Raw genomic sequence first — 15,842 nt, 5'->3', positions numbered from 1 at the left:
TACTACAGGAAACAAACACAGGAACATTGAAATGTGGACGGAAAAAAATCAACCTGGCTAGGAATTTCAGGACGTTAGAAATGACACCATGTGTACCACATGGTGCACTGGGAAAACCTGTAATCTAGAACCCCCAGCAGGTGACTGGAAATAAGTGTCAAAGCCCCAGGAAAACCTTGATTCCTGGAGTGAAGGGACTGGTACAAGGTTGATGTAGAAGAAATAGAACACCAATTTGGTGATATCATCTCCTGCATTGTGACGTTGTCAATGGGATCTAAGGAGGAGCTGAACTTCTCCTCTCTCCCAGGAGCAATGAGGTGCTACAAGTAACTCCTCCCTTGACCCTTCCTTGGTGTTGACTCAGCCCAGTGGAGAGCTGAGCTTTGGTCCCCACCTGGCAGCAGCAATGGGGCAGAATAAAGCCATGCAAGGTGGTACAACGTAATGCTGGGTGGCTGTCTGCTTCCCCTCATCGCGGGGTGTCAGTGGAGGGACCAATAGGGGCTGAACTTTTACCTTAATGCAACAATAATGAAGTAAAATGAGCAGAGTGAGGCTGTGAGAGTCAGCACTTTGCTTCCATCCACCTCCACTGGTGTTGGCGAAAAAAGAGGGAAATGGAGCTTTTCCCCACACTTGGCAGCAAAGGAGCAGAATGAGACAACAAGAGGAGGTGGTGCTACTCACAGCTCACTCAGAAGGAGTGGAAGTCGCACTGTCACACAGCAACAGCAAGGCTGAATGAGCAGGTAGGAGGTGGTGCCAGTGGACAGGTTACTTCCCCCCTGCCTCCTGTGTGGATGTCACCCATTGGAGAGCTGGGTTTCTGCCCCCACCTGGCCCAGTGAGGCAGTGGGAAGCTGTTGACACATTGATGTCAACAGAGGTAAACATCTACCCCAATCTGCCTCTGCACACTTCACTTAAACAGGAAAGAGAAAGAAAGAAGGAAGGAAAGAAGGAAAGAAAGAAAGAAAAGAAAGAAAGAAAGAAAGATCATCCAAAGTCTCACAACATACTATGTAAAATATCCCATATACATTTGAAAATTACTCATTATACCAAGAACCAGGACAACCTCAACTTGAATGAGAAAAGATTAACAACAGATGCCAACACAGAGAAAACACGTATGTTGGAATTGTCTGTCAAAAACTTTAAAGCAGCCATCTAAAAAATGCCTCAAGGAGCAATGAGGAACAGGCTTAAAATAAAGGAAAGAAAAAGAAAACCTCTCAGCAAAGAAACTGAAGATATAAATAAGAACCAAATGGAATTTTTGGAACTGAAAAATACAATATCCGAACAGAATGGGTTCAATAGCAAATGAATATAGCAAAAGAATCAGTGGGGTTTTTTAATTAAAAAAATAAAATTAACAATGTGAACAACATAAAATAAACTGAAAAGATATGAATGGAACCACAAAGATCTGTTGGACAATAACAAAAAATCTAATACGAATATTGTCAAAGTTACAGGAGAGGAAAAGGGGTGTATAGGACTGAAAAAGCATTTAAAGATATAATGCTAAAAAGTTTCCAAATTTGGCAACATATATAAAACCGCAGATTTAAGAAGTTTGTGAAAGGTGTAAAGTTTGTGTATAGACTCATTTTTATTTGCATGTGGATGTAGATTAATGTTTATAGTATCTTTGTTCTTAATAGCTATAAACTAGAAACTAATTCATAGGTCAAAAAGAAGTCTCGAAGGAAATGAAACAGAACAAAATAAAATAGAACTAAATAAAAATAAAAATATAACAAAAATTTGTGGGATGCAGCTAATGCAGTAATGAAAGGGAAATTTATTGCATTAAATGCTTATATTACAGAAATGTTCTAAGAAATGAATCTAAGCTTCCATCTTTAGAAACTAGAAAATAAGAGCAAAATAAACACAAAGCATGAAGAAACAAAGAAATGACAAATATTAGAGTATAAATCAGTGACATAGAAAACAGAAAAACAGAGAAAATTACTAAGACACAAAACTGTTCTTTGAAAATATTAAAAAATGTCTGTTTAGGTATAAATCTAGCAAAACATGTACAAAATCTGTATGCTGAATACTACAAAACATGGTGGGAGAAATAAAAGAACATAAAAAAATGGAGCTGGGTACAGTAGTTCACACCTGTAATCCCAACACTTTGGAAGGTCAAGATTGGATAATTGCTTGAAAGTAGGTGTTTGAGGCCAACCTGGCCAACATAGTGAGACCCTGTCTCTATTTTTAAAATTGAAGAGGTATAACACATACATGGATTAAAAAACTCAACATAATACGTCAATTCTATTCCATACTTACGTACTGGTTTAATACAATTCCTATTGTATTTCCAGTAAAGCTGTTTTTTAGATATAGGCAAGCTTATTTGAAAAAATTTAGAACTAATTAGAATTAGTTATTAGAATAATTAGATTAGTAATTAGAATTACTAATTAGAATAACTATAACAATTTTGGAAAAAGAAGAAAGTGAGAGGAATTAATTGACCAGATGTCAAAACTTAGTATATAGTTACATTAATCAAAACATTGTAGTACTGGGGAACTGATAGACCCATAGAGCAATGAAATAGAATAGAGAATCCATAAACAGACTGACACAGATATGATCAATCAACTGACATTTGTCAAATGTGCACAAGCAATTTTGTGGAAGGAGGACAATGTTTTCCAAAAATGGTATTGGAACAACTGGACATCCATGGGGGCCAGAGGAAGGAAGCCTGGATCTAAGCTTCCCACCTTGTACAAAAATTAACTCAAAATAGATTATATGTTTAAATGTAAAGCATTAAAAATATCAAACCTTTAGAAGAAAACACAGGAGAAAATATTTGGGACCTAAGGTTTGGTAAAGAGTTCTTAAATACGACACCAAAACCATGAGGCATAAATTAAATCAATTAGCTACATGTAATCAAAAATAAAACTTTAGTTCTAGAACATAGTGTGTTATGAGAATAAAAAGACTACAAACTACAGAATTAAGCATTTGCTAACTGCATATCTGACAAATAACTTATACTTAAAATATATAAAAGAACTTTCAAAATGCAACAGTAAGATATTATTTAAAAGGTCCAATTAGAAAATAGGTGAAATGAACAGACATTTTACCAAAGAGGATATTTAAATGTAAATTCAGCACATGAAAATATCTTCAACATAATTAGCCATTAGATAAATGCAAATTAAGACCACGATGAGGTATCACAACTATTGGAACAGCTAAAAAAATTTTTTTAAGTTACATTACCAAATGCTAGTAAAGCTATGAAAAATCTAATTTCTTATACATTGCTGGTAGGAATGTAAAATGGCTCAGCTACTTTGGAAAATAGTTTAGCAGTTTTTTTAAAAAAATTAACTACACATATACATTCCATGAAACCCAACAATTTCACTCCTAGGCATTTATTACAGAGAAATAAAACTTATGTCTATATACAAGTGGCCTATTAGCCAAAAGCTAAAAACTGTCCAAAGACCTTCAAAGAGTGAATAGTTTAAACAATTGTGGTACATCCATGCAATAGAATATCACTCAAAAATTTAAAAAAAAAAAAATTGGCTAGCAATAATACAAAAATTTGAATGAATCATAAAGAAATTGTTCTGAATTTAAAAAGCTAATCCCAAAAGATTACCCACTGAACGACTTAATTTATATAACATTCTTGAAAGGGCAAAATTATTGAGATGTAGGACACAGTAGTGATGGTCAGGGCTTGGGTATGTGGGGAAAAGGAGACACGTCTGGTTGTAAACAGATATCATGGAGGATCTTTGTGGTAATGGAGCAATTTCTCTATTGAATGTGATGGGTTACATGAACGTACACATGTGCTAAAGTTGCAGAAGACTACACACACACACGTGTGCACACACAAAGTGCATATAAAACTGGTAAGATCCAGATAAGATCTGCGGATTGTACCAATGTTGACATTGTGGATCTGATATCATATTCTAGTTACATAAAGATGTTCTTATTGGGAGGAGCGAGGTTACTGTTACAGGGAATCCATTTACTACTTTTGCAACTTCCCATGAATCTATAATTATTTCAAAATTTTTAAAAATTCAAAAGAGTACATAAAGTAAAATATTAAAACAAACAGTAAAACTTCATCTATGACAAGTGAGGAAAGAGATAACACAGGAACAAATAGCAGAACAAACTGAAACCAAACAAAATGGTAGACTTAAACACAAGTACGGCAATAACAGATGTATTATCAAGTTGTGATGTATTGTGGAATACTATCCAGCAACAGGAAGAGCAACATTTGATATCTCCGACAACAGCGATGGATGGATCTCAAAAGATTTGTGCTGTGTGAAAAAAATTAACTGCAAGATACACAGAGCACTGAGGCTATGATACCCCTTATTTGAGGCTTGAATCCAGACCAAACAAATCTAGGGCAATACAAGTTAGAAAGTGGCTGCCTGGGGAAGGGTATATTTGGCTGGAAATGGGCAAAAGGGAGCTTTCTAGAATGACAGAAACAATCAGTGCTTTGGGAGGTGTGTGGGTAACACAAGTGTACACTTTTGTCAAAATTCATCAAACTGTACACTAAATATGAGCGCATTTCTATAGATACAAAATTATTTCTTAATTTTAAAATGTCTTTTTTTTTTCTTTTTTGAGATGGAGTTTTGCTCTGTTGCCCAGGCTAGAGTGCTGTGGTGCGATCTCGGTTCACTGCAACCTCAGCCTCCCGGGTTCAAGCAATTCTCCTGCCTCAGCCTCCCTAGTAGCTGGGACTACAGGCACCCACCACCACGCCCGGCTAATTTTTTGTATTTTTAGTAGAGATGGTTTCACCGTGTTGACCAAGATGGTCTGGATCTGCTTACCTGGTAATCCGCCTGCCTCCGCCTCCCAAAGTGCTGGGATTACAGGTGTGAGCTACTGTACCCAGCTAAAATGTTCTTTAAAAAGAACTTTACTTTTTATTTTCCCACATCCAAATGAATTACTTAGTGTACTTCCTGGGAAGCACACACTCCCTGTGGAGATAACTGGGCAGAGCAGTGATATGATACAAGGCTTGCAGGTGCTTGGGAACTGTAGATCCAGAGGGCTGGACATCCATTCTCACATGACTATGAATTGGCTAGATGTCATTCAAATAGTCTGCCTTGTTTTAACCTCCACATTTTACTTTATTATTATTATTATTATTATTTTGGGACAGAGTCTCTCTCTGCCGCCCAGGCTGGAGTGCAGTGGTGCGATCTCGGCTCACTGCAACCTCGGGCTCCCAGGTTCAAGAGATTCTCCTGCCTCAGCCTCCCGAGTAGGTGGGGATTACAGGCACATGCCACCATGCCCAGCTAATTTTTTATATTTTTAGTAGAGACGGGGTTTCACCGTGTTAGCCAGAATGGTCTCGAACTCCTGACCTTGTGATCTGCCCACCTCAGCCTCCCAAAGTGCTGAGATTACAGGCGTGAGCCACTGCGCCTGGCCTCAATTTATTATTTTTTTGAGACAGAGTCTCCCTATGTCTGCCAGGCTAGAGTGCAGTGGTCATCATGGCTCACTGCAGCCTCCAACTCCTGGGCTTAAAGGATCTTCCCACCTGTGCCTCCCAAGTAGCTAGGAGTACAGGTGTGCACCCCCATGCCTGGCTAATTTTTTTTTTTTTTTTTTTTTTAGAAAGATGGGGTCTTGCTATGTTGCCTAGGCTGGACTCAAACTCTTGGCCTTAAGTCATGCTCCTGCTTTGGTCTCTCAATGCGCTGGGATTACAGGCATGAGCCACCATGCACAGCCACAACATTTTAAAGAAAAGATACAAAATGGAATCCCTAAACTGTATTTAACCAAAGGAATGGAGATTTCACATTCGTTTGGAGGAGCAGTATATGGAGAATGCTGACAAATTCTTCTCCATCTTCTCACGAGGAAAAATAACATAAAAGAGCCTCAGATCACTGCATTGAAAGCTTCAGTTCGATTTTAGGAAACATTTGACTAATCTACAAGGATAAAAATCTAGTTAAAAACACATATCTATGAAAATAAGCAAATACACTTTACACAAAACTTATAAAGTTACACGTATCTGGTTAAAGACATCCTCTGAGCTGCCACCTTTAATGCCTTGAGATTTGTTTTCCATCATTTTAACAGTTGGGGCTGCACAATGTTTTGTCTTACATTTATCTAGCGTGAGCTGTTCTTTGAAAGTGATCTGGATGGTAAACATTGGTTGGGATATTCCATTTCTCTCCTCCAATATGTTTTTATTGGACCTGATTTGGAAGGCTAGAAACAAGTTCAACCAAACACTAAAGTGGACACAGCGTAATGTCGCCAGCAGCATTTATAGAGATATTTCAAAAGAGTCTTGTTTTCTGAGAATGTTTAAAAATCAATTAATTGTGGCCGGGCACAGTGGCTAAAGCCTGTAATCCCAGCACTTTGGGAGGCCAAGGTTGGCGGATCACCTGAGATCAGGAGTTCGAGACCAGCATGGCCAAGATGGTGAAACACCGTCTCTACTAAAAATACAAAATCAGCTGGGTGTGGTGGCACATGCCTGTAATCCCAGCTACTCAGGAGGCTGAGGCAGGAGAATTGCTTGAAACCGGGAGGTGGAGATTGCAGTGAGCTGAGATTGCACCATTGCACTCCAGCCTGGGAGACAGAGCGAGACTCTGTCTCAGAAAAAAATTGAAATTAAAATTAAAAAAAAAATCAATTCTGGAGGCTGAGGCAGGAGACTTGCTAGAACCTGGGAAGCGGAGGTTGCAGTGAGTCGAGATCACGCCACTGCCTTCTAGCCTGGGCGACAGAGCAAGACTCAGTCTCTAACCAAAAAAAAAAAAAAAAAAAAAAAAAAATCAATTAAATGTGGAAAACAAAGTAGTCCCAGAAATGTCATTCTGCCTGACTCATATTACATCATAGAAGCAGTAACTATGTCAAGAAGCAGTTTAAATCAAGCTCAAGATAAAATATGCCTAAGATTTCAAAAAACACAAATATGGCAATTTAGGTGTGTGTCACCATACTTCCACAGGTTTTGTCAAACCCTGGGCATTTTTCGCGTGTCAGCTTTCAATTTGTTGCCATCTTCTGTGTCTTAGAAATAAGAATCAGTGTTATACTCTTTTTTTAAATGTGTTTTTTCACATCATGGTCAGTTGCGGTAATTGCCCCTGGTCTATTAAAGCGAATAAATAACCAACCATGCAAGTACATTTATTAAACAGATGTGCATAATCCAGCAACAACTCCCTGCTGATGAATCTGAAATGAAAACACAGATCCTGCCTTCATGGATATTAATGTCTTGCAGGAGTTTAGTACATGTTGATTGCAAGAGAGTAAATAGAGAACTAGGTTGGCCCGGCGCGATGGCTCACGCCTGTAATCCCACCACTTTGGGAGGCCGAGGTGGGTGGATCACCTGAGGTCAGGAGTTTGAGACCAGCCTGGCCAACACGGTGAAACCCCATCTCTACTAAAAATATAAAAATTAGCTGGGCATAGTGGCAGCTGCCTGTAATCCCAGCTACTCGGGAGGCTGAGGCAGGAGAATCGCTCGAACCCAGGAGGTGGAGGTTTCAGTGAGCAGAGATCACACCACTGCACTCTGGCCTGGGTGACAGAGCAAGAATCAGTCTCAAAAAAAAAAAAAAAAAAAAAAAACTAGGTTTACAAAGTGGGGAAGGATGAAAGAGAACTACCACTTACTGTGTATCTATAATCCCTATGACCTGTGCTGAAAACCTTTCTATATCATCCCATTTAATTTTCTAGCTTCACCTTCATCTCCACTCTCCACCTCTAAGTAAAGGAACTCAGGAAATTTAAACCAGCTGTTCAAAGGCACATGCCCTATGAATAAAGCCACAGTTCTACTTAATTAGACTGCCACCTGATGATAGTATAATTATTTGAATTATTTAAGGGTGACTACAAAAGTGGAGTAAAATTCAAGTTCCTTTAAATCCCATTGTTTTCGTTGTTCATATTTGTGTGTCAATAGCTCTTTATCGTCAAGATTTCCACTAGCAAAATACATATGCCACTTCCTCCGGGAAGCCCTCCTGACATCTCACACAGGCACAAATCCTTCGATGATATGCTCTACTCATGCCAAGTATCTTTCCCTTATGCCACTCACTATTTGAATATTTTCTTTCTCTCGATTATAAGAATGGGGGTGATGCAGGAAGTACACTGCCTAACCCAATAATTTTAATTATGAACATCTGATTTAATAATTTTGAATGGCTGATTTAAATTCCTGAGTTTCTTTAATCACAGGTGAAGGCTGGAGATGAGGGTGGTGTTGAAGATCAAATGTGAGGATGTATAAAGGCTTTAGCACAGGACACAGGGATTATAGATAGACAGTATCCCAATACATTCAAGCTTACTATTGAGTGGGTAGTCAATAGTAAGCTTGGAATTATTGAATGAATAAATATTTTAAGGGGCCCTCAGTGGGAAAATAAAGTGTCATAGGCCCAAAGCTGATGGCAAATTGTGAGTAAAATCCCCTAAGGGGTATTATTTAACAGAGAAAGGGGTTCAGGAGATGAAAGATGCTTTCTTTTCATATTCAACAGAGCTGAATATTTTTGGATATTAATCTATGTTTACTTTTGCCATTGTGGAGACAAAAGCAACTTCATCTTGGGTGCTAATCTACCATGTTAACCTCTGATGAGCGCCAGTCCCATGAATGCCTCCTGATTCCTACTTTATTTACTGTCCCTAGGGTAAGAACATGGATCAGAGTAACACTGATGTTGTTGCATAAATTATAGACAATGATGCATATAGCATTCTTACCTGTTCTGGAAGGTTGCCTTTCATTGTCTTGCTGGAGCACGTAAACCCTTTCCCTACAGTAGATAAGCCCTGAGTGTAGGAAGGAACAGTGCAGAAATCTACCTGTCTTACAGCTACCCAAGACCATGCTTCTGTCTGTAAGTTCTCTTCATAAATCACCCAATACCAACACACTAGATTAGTCTGCCTCCTTCATTGGTTTCTCAGCTCCTTTAGCATTTGTGGGTTGCTATGCACATATGGGCCTTTCACAAATAAGTCATATGTTTCTTATTTCCTTTCTCCCAAGTAAAGAGGTAACAGTGCTGTCAAACAGTTTCTCCATAGCTTGGAGGAGATAAGAAGCAGGGCCCAATGCAGAAATTTACTCTAATACTTCCTGGATTTTGTTTTGCAAAAATCCCTTTGAGCCATGTAAGGTAGAGGAAGGAGACAGAAACAATTGAGCAAAGTATGAAGAAGAAAGAAGCTGCCTCCTGTTCACATAGGGAGAGGTCTGTGGGTCTTAACCTGTGAGGTCTAGCAAACCTGACCTCACTCCTTGACAAGGCTGAAATGAAGAACCACTCTGAGATCCTCTAAAGAGAGGGAATCCCAGGACCCCCAGGCTCTCCAGGGTTCTAGTCCTCAGAAGAGCACACCAAGCTCCAAGGTTACATTGTGGGCATAGACAATGAAGATGCTTTGTCAATGGAACACTTGCTTTCTTAACAGCTCCCTGTCCTCCAAAAGAAATGTTTCCCCTGGTATTCCCAATTTTGCCACCTGCTCAGTAACAATGATGAAAATCTAGGAGTCATTCTGGACTCCCCCCCTCAGGCCAACACTGGCCACTCTCCAATCACCTGGAAAGTGGCCCTGTCTTGTTGCCCTGTCCAATGCATTTCCGTTCACTTTTGCCATCTTCACTTCTTCTGCCCTGGACAAACCACTCTCTATCTTCTCTACTGTAGCTTCTTTTTTTTTTTTTTTTTTTTTTTTTTTTTTTTTTTTTGAAAAGGAGTCTCGCTCTGTCGCCCAGGCTGGAGTGCAGTGGCGGGATCTCGGCTCACTGCAAGCTCCGCCTCCCGGGTTCACGCCATTCTCCTGCCTCAGCCTCCCAAGTAGCTGGGACTACAGGCGCCCGCCACTACGCCCGGCTAATTTTTTGTATTTTTAGTAGAGACGGGGTTTCACCGTTTTAGCCGGGATGGTCTCGATCTCCTGACCTCGTGATCCGCCCGCCTCGGCCTCCCAAAGTGCTGGGATTACAGGCGTGAGCCACCGCGCCCGGCCCTCTACTGTAGCTTCTTATCTTCTCCCATGCTGGCCTTCCTTCAGTCTTTTCTATGTAATACATATGACTGATTTTTTGTTTGTTTTTGTTTGTTTTTAAGAGACAGGATCTTGCTCTGTCACCCAGGCTGGAGTACAGTAGCACAATCATAGCTCACTATAGCCTCAAACATCTGGACTCAAACCATCCTCCTGACTCAGCCCCTGAGTAGCTGGGACCACAGGCACACATTCCCACGTCCACTAATGTATTTTTATTTTGTATGGTGATGGGATCTCACTGTGTTGCCCAGGGTGGCCTTGAACTCTTGGCCTCAAGTGATCCTCCCACCTCAGCCTCCTGAAGTACTGGGATTACAGGTGTGAGCCACTGTGTCCGGCCTATGTTATTGCTTAATTTAAATCAGTTCAAAGTCACCCCCATTTTAAAACTTCTCACTTCTATCCCCGCCTGCTTCTCCACACTCGCCCTGGGGCCCTCTCACTCTCATCCTATTTGCATCCCTGTTTTTCATTCAGGCTGTGTCATGTTCTCTCCCCTCTGTCTGAGACGGTTTGCCTTTCATCTCTCTCCTTATGCAGCGTCCATCTCTAACTTAGCATCTTCAGGGAGCTTTTTTCTAGCTGTCCCAGGAAATCCAGTCTGTGTTCCACTTGACAAGACATCAGTGTACCACAATTGCTGTTTATAAAGTTTCATGATGTGCCATTTGGGCCATCCGAACTAAAACTGAGAAAAGAGAAATTGAGTGACTCTCTTAAAGTTAACCAGTTATTTGGTGCCAGAAGTTAGATTCACTGTCTAGGAAAATTTGCAATCTAAAGTTCTATGCTATATGCTAATGGGTTCTAAAATGATTTGTTGAAAAAATAAAAAATATGAATGTCGGCAGAAAGCATGGTGAACTGGAAATTTCATCCATTTCCCCATATATGGGCTCCATATTGGCTTCCTACAGCCTGACTTTTTATAGGGAGAGTAAGCCACAATAGTATCTAAGAAAAGATGTCCTTGGAAAATGGTATGATATGTTGTCAGAGTCATATTAGCTTTATTTAAAGTAAATAACAAAAGTAATGTCTTTTTTTAAAAAAGACTTGAGTTTGTGGACTGAGATTCCGATCATTTCCTCGTGCATTTTCTGGCAACATCTTATTCATTATTAGCATTGGGATTCCCAAGTTACACCCATGCTATTATTCTTCATTTACCTCCCAAGTTTGTCCACATTTTTGTCATTTTTCAGATGCATGATGTTAGACAGTTTAAATATGTGCATAAATAGAAAAGTACATTTCTGACAAAGTTGAACCGAAAAATGGATTGAAAAATCCTCTTATCCCAAAGCTGCAGAATCTTGTGCAGTTTGGTAAAGAAGTCCCGCATGGTCTGGTAAGTGGTGTGCAAGTGCTTTTTCGACGTTTTTTATTTCTCTAGAATCGTCTTTGAAGTGGTGCTTTAGGGATCATAAATAACTTCCGCTGTCCCTGCAAAGGGCAGGATTAAGGCCCCATTATTAGGAGGAAATGGAGGCTTAGGCAGTTGCAGCAAATTATATGAGGCTTTGGCCAAGTGGCAGTGAAAATTACCTTGTCTGGTTTATAGTGGCTTTTCTTGGGCATGAAAATAATTGGGAATGGCTAAAAGTACCTAATAGTTTGACAAAGTTTCTTTCTAGGAAACTAATTCAACTCTTAAGCCACATCATATTCTTAAAGAGCCTTTTTTTCTGGTTACGTTCCAATTCCTGCCTCAAGAGTCAACACAATGTTCCAGAAATTAATTTCATTCTCATAATTCCTGCTCATTGTATAGTTACAATGGTACATAAATGGTGTATATTGGCAGTCTGGATACTTTCTGGTGTCATGTACACATCCTCGCTGAGTTCTACATGTCATGTCAACACAACTTTTATTGTACAAAGCATTCATGATTTTTTCCCTTTATTTTTGTCTCCCTCTACTCCACTTGAGAAATAATCGGGGTAGCTGGGAGCATGTCCAGGCAAATTAGCTAATGTTGCAGTTAATTTCCAATCATAAAGTCGATAATTTTCCCTTTCATTCCAGTTGAAGTAATTCATGATGAATATGAATTCTCTCATGAGTCTTTTTTAAAAGCCATGTTGCTAGGTGGTCCCTGTGTGAAGGGGGATGGTGGCGGCAGTGACATCAGTATTCTAATGGTTGTAGAAAGTTACCTTTATGCTTACTTAGTGCTCCAACAAATGTATGTTATTTGCCCATTTGATTTTGCCACTTCTTTGTCTACTTCTGGTTATTCTTTGGTTAGGCAAGCACATCTTGGGACTTATTCCATGAATCACCAACATTTCTGCCCATTTTGCAGTTAACCTTATGATACTTATGAAACGAGGAATTCAATTGCTGATCAAGAAATTGCATCCAATTAATTATTCAGAGAAGGCCTTCCTATATAATCACTATGATTTTCCAGGTGGAAGATAGCCCTCTTTTGTGGAGCTCTTCTGCCCTATACAGACTCCTGTCTCTCCCATTATTGATTTTATAAGTTTACACAGCTATAATTCACTATTGTCTTTGGTCAAAGGAAAAATAATATACTGTTACAATAACTGTTGAACGGCACTTGTTAAAATTCATAAATCATTCTTTTTTTTTTTTAAGAAACAGTTTCTTGCTCCGTCACCCAAGCTAGACTGCAGTGGCCCAATCATAACTCACTGCAGCCTCAAACTCCCAGGCTCAAGTGCTTCTCCTACCCCACCCTTCTGAGTAGCTAGGACTATAGGTGTAGGCCACCTTGCCCAGTTAATTGTTTTATGTTTTTGTAAAGATGGGGTCTTGCTATGTTGCCCAGGCTGGTCTGTGAACTCCTAGCCTCAAGCTAGGCCTCAAGGGGGCCTCCCACCTTGGCCTCCCAAACATTGTGATTACAAGTGTGAGCCACTGTGCCCAGACCCATTCTTAATTTTAAGAAGATTTACATATTAAAATAGGGGTAGTTTATCTTAAGGTGATTCCTTAAAAAGTTATCAAGTGCAATAAGTATTCAGTATATTTACTGATATCATTTTATTTACACTTGGGAGCTAGAACCAAAGATTGGTATTTTACACTATAATTTCTGGTGATTTCGGGCATTGAATTTAAAAAGTTTGGAAGAAAAATAGACAAATTTGCCATCATGTTCAAAGGATGTCTTGATGCTGAAAACATGCAAGGCAATCTCCTAAAAAAGGAATTAGAAAGTATAAAAGTTTTGTAAGATGATGAAATTGCTTCAAAATAATAAGGCCAAATTAATAATTTATCTACATTAATAAAATAACCAGTAGGAAAATATAATGCAAAAATAATAAATCTGCAATAGAAAAACTAATTCCAGAATTAAGTCAAGCTAATTCTCCTTTTTCTTTTTGGCAGTTTGTTGATGGACAACTTTTTAAAGTTTGATACACAGTTTGAGGTGATTTCGTTTGTACTTCAAGTTTGAGGATCTTCATATTTATATCAGCCATACCACACCAAGAAAAGTATTTTGACATTTTATTTGCTTGCAAGAGCTCTTACTGATTTGGGGCAAAACGGATGGGTTACAGTAGGCAGATACAGGCAACTGAAAATGATAGAGTCTACAAAACTATGAGTCTTAAACATATGTTCATGCATATATTCAAAGCCAGTTTATTCTTGCAATTTCTTCTTTGTCCTGAGTAATATATGATTTTTGTGCTGTTTTTTAGTTTTTTTTCTCTTGTAAGTCAACTTCTGATGCACAATTCTTTGAAATATACGACATATTAGAACAAATTTCAAAAGAGCCCTGTGTGACATGCCAGAGCCATGGAGCCTGATTAGAACTGGAGTTGGAATCATTTGTGGCACTGGATATAATTTAAGACACCATGTTGTTCCTTAGGAGGAAGCCTTATTTATAACAGCAGTACCATGCTGCACAACAGATGCCAGTGGAAAGTGAAACGATGATGAAATTAATTTGACCTTTCTTAAGCCTGCAGAACATAAATCAGATCTATTTAATAAAGATCAAGTTTGCAAGAAATAACTTCAACTGCAGATGTGTAAATGCTTCAATGAAAGAAATGATGGCAACATTTGTACAGTTCTGAATATAGTTTAAATTAGACAAAAATGATGAAAAAATGTAGTTCAGAGATGTGCAACTTTTCTTCATTAAATGTATGTGGCATACTAAGAAATTTGGTCATTCCACTGCACTTTTCAGACCATTAAGCACAGTACAGGTATCAATCTGTTGTGTATCTAACAAAAACTTAATTTTTGATGCCTAATTAGGACAACTGCATTAAGTAATATTTTGATATTTATTAGGGAATGATTTTGTTATCAAATCCCCTTTAAATCTATGATCTAATTTTTAATAAGTTCCTGGGGGTTTGGAAATCTTCATATATAAAAAATGATTGAGCAATTCTTCCTCAAAATAAAAGCAAGATGATTGAAGTTTTTCTGGCTAGGACAGAGGGCAAGAGTTTATTCTGAAGACAGAGATTTTTAAGATTAAAGTCAGGTTTGGCAGGAAGCCTGCTTTATTTTAATAAAAGAATGGACAGGGGCCAAATTCATTACTATTGGAATACCTAGCAGCCCCTGAACATATAAGTAAAAGTAGAAAGAGAGCACATGCAATTTAGTTTGCCAAGATCGGGATAGAAAGGAACTGAATTCATTCATTCATTCATTCATTCATTCATTCATTCCTCCATTCATTCATTCATTCATTCATTCCTCCATTCATTCAAACACCAATCCCTACTATGTGACAGGTTCTGGGAAAGTAAAATGAGTCAGAAGCAAATATTGCTTTCAGAGTGCTCTCATCAGATTGATTGCAACGATTTGTTTACATCCAATCTCTTTCAAATGGCTAAATGCTGTGATCATGGCACGTACAAAATTCCAGGGAGCACAATACTACCTCAGGAGGATCAAGAATAGCTGTTTCAAGGACCTGAGTGGAGTCTTTGAATACAGACAGGAATTCAAAAGGCTGAGCAGGGGAGAATGCATGTTTCAGGCCAAGGAAAAAGAATGAGCTAAAGGTGCAGAACAGAGAGTGAGTGTGAAGGAACCTCGATGCCATGCAGTGGAGATCGAATTCTATCCCAATTAATGAAGATTTCTTTTTTAATGAATTAAGCCAGAAGAGTAATAGGGCTATGATTGCCTTACAGAAAGGTAAGTCTGATTGGAATGGGATTCTCAAGATGGCGTGGGGTGCGCAAGCGTGTGAGTCTTCGAATCAGGGAGGCCTTTTAGAAGGCTGTTGTAGGGAATCAGAAGGGCTGAGGCATCTGGATTAGGACAATGGCAATGGCAGTCAAGAAGGAAATACGGATTCAAGTGACATTCAGGAGGTGTGATTAATGGGATTTGTCTCTTTATATGGGAAATCAAGACAGAATTAAACACCATTTATATTAAAATATTTGGGTTGGGGATGCCTGAAGGAAATCTAGTACAATGTCCAGGAGGCTTCAGAGAAATGAAGGACTTGAAACCAGCCTGAGCAATATAGCAAGACCCTGTCTCCACAAAAAATACAAAAATTAGCCTGGCATGGTGGCACATGCCTGTAGTCCCAGCCACTCAGGAAGCTGAAGTGGGAGGGTAACCTGAGCTTGGGGAGGTCAAGGCTGCAGTAAGCCATGATCTCACCACTGCTTTCCAGCCTGGAAGACAGAGTGAGACCAGTC

At 39.1% G+C, this 15,842-nt stretch overlaps 1 long non-coding RNA gene across 1 annotated transcript; it reads left to right on the top strand.

Annotated features, from left to right (window-relative positions):
* Window positions 1–321: 321 nt before the first annotated feature.
* Window positions 322–14,320, top strand: LOC105376403 (uncharacterized). The gene is made up of 2 exons (XR_930647.1): window positions 322–752; window positions 13,528–14,320. It is a non-coding gene; the product is annotated as an uncharacterized LOC105376403 (long non-coding RNA).
* Window positions 14,321–15,842: the final 1,522 nt, after the last annotated feature.

This window comes from Homo sapiens, chromosome 10 (genome assembly GCF_000001405.40).
Source record: "Homo sapiens chromosome 10, GRCh38.p14 Primary Assembly".
NCBI classification, from domain to species: Eukaryota; Metazoa; Chordata; class Mammalia; order Primates; family Hominidae; genus Homo; species Homo sapiens.
Note: the sequence above shows the minus strand (reverse complement) of the source record. Positions and strands in the feature narration are given on the sequence as shown.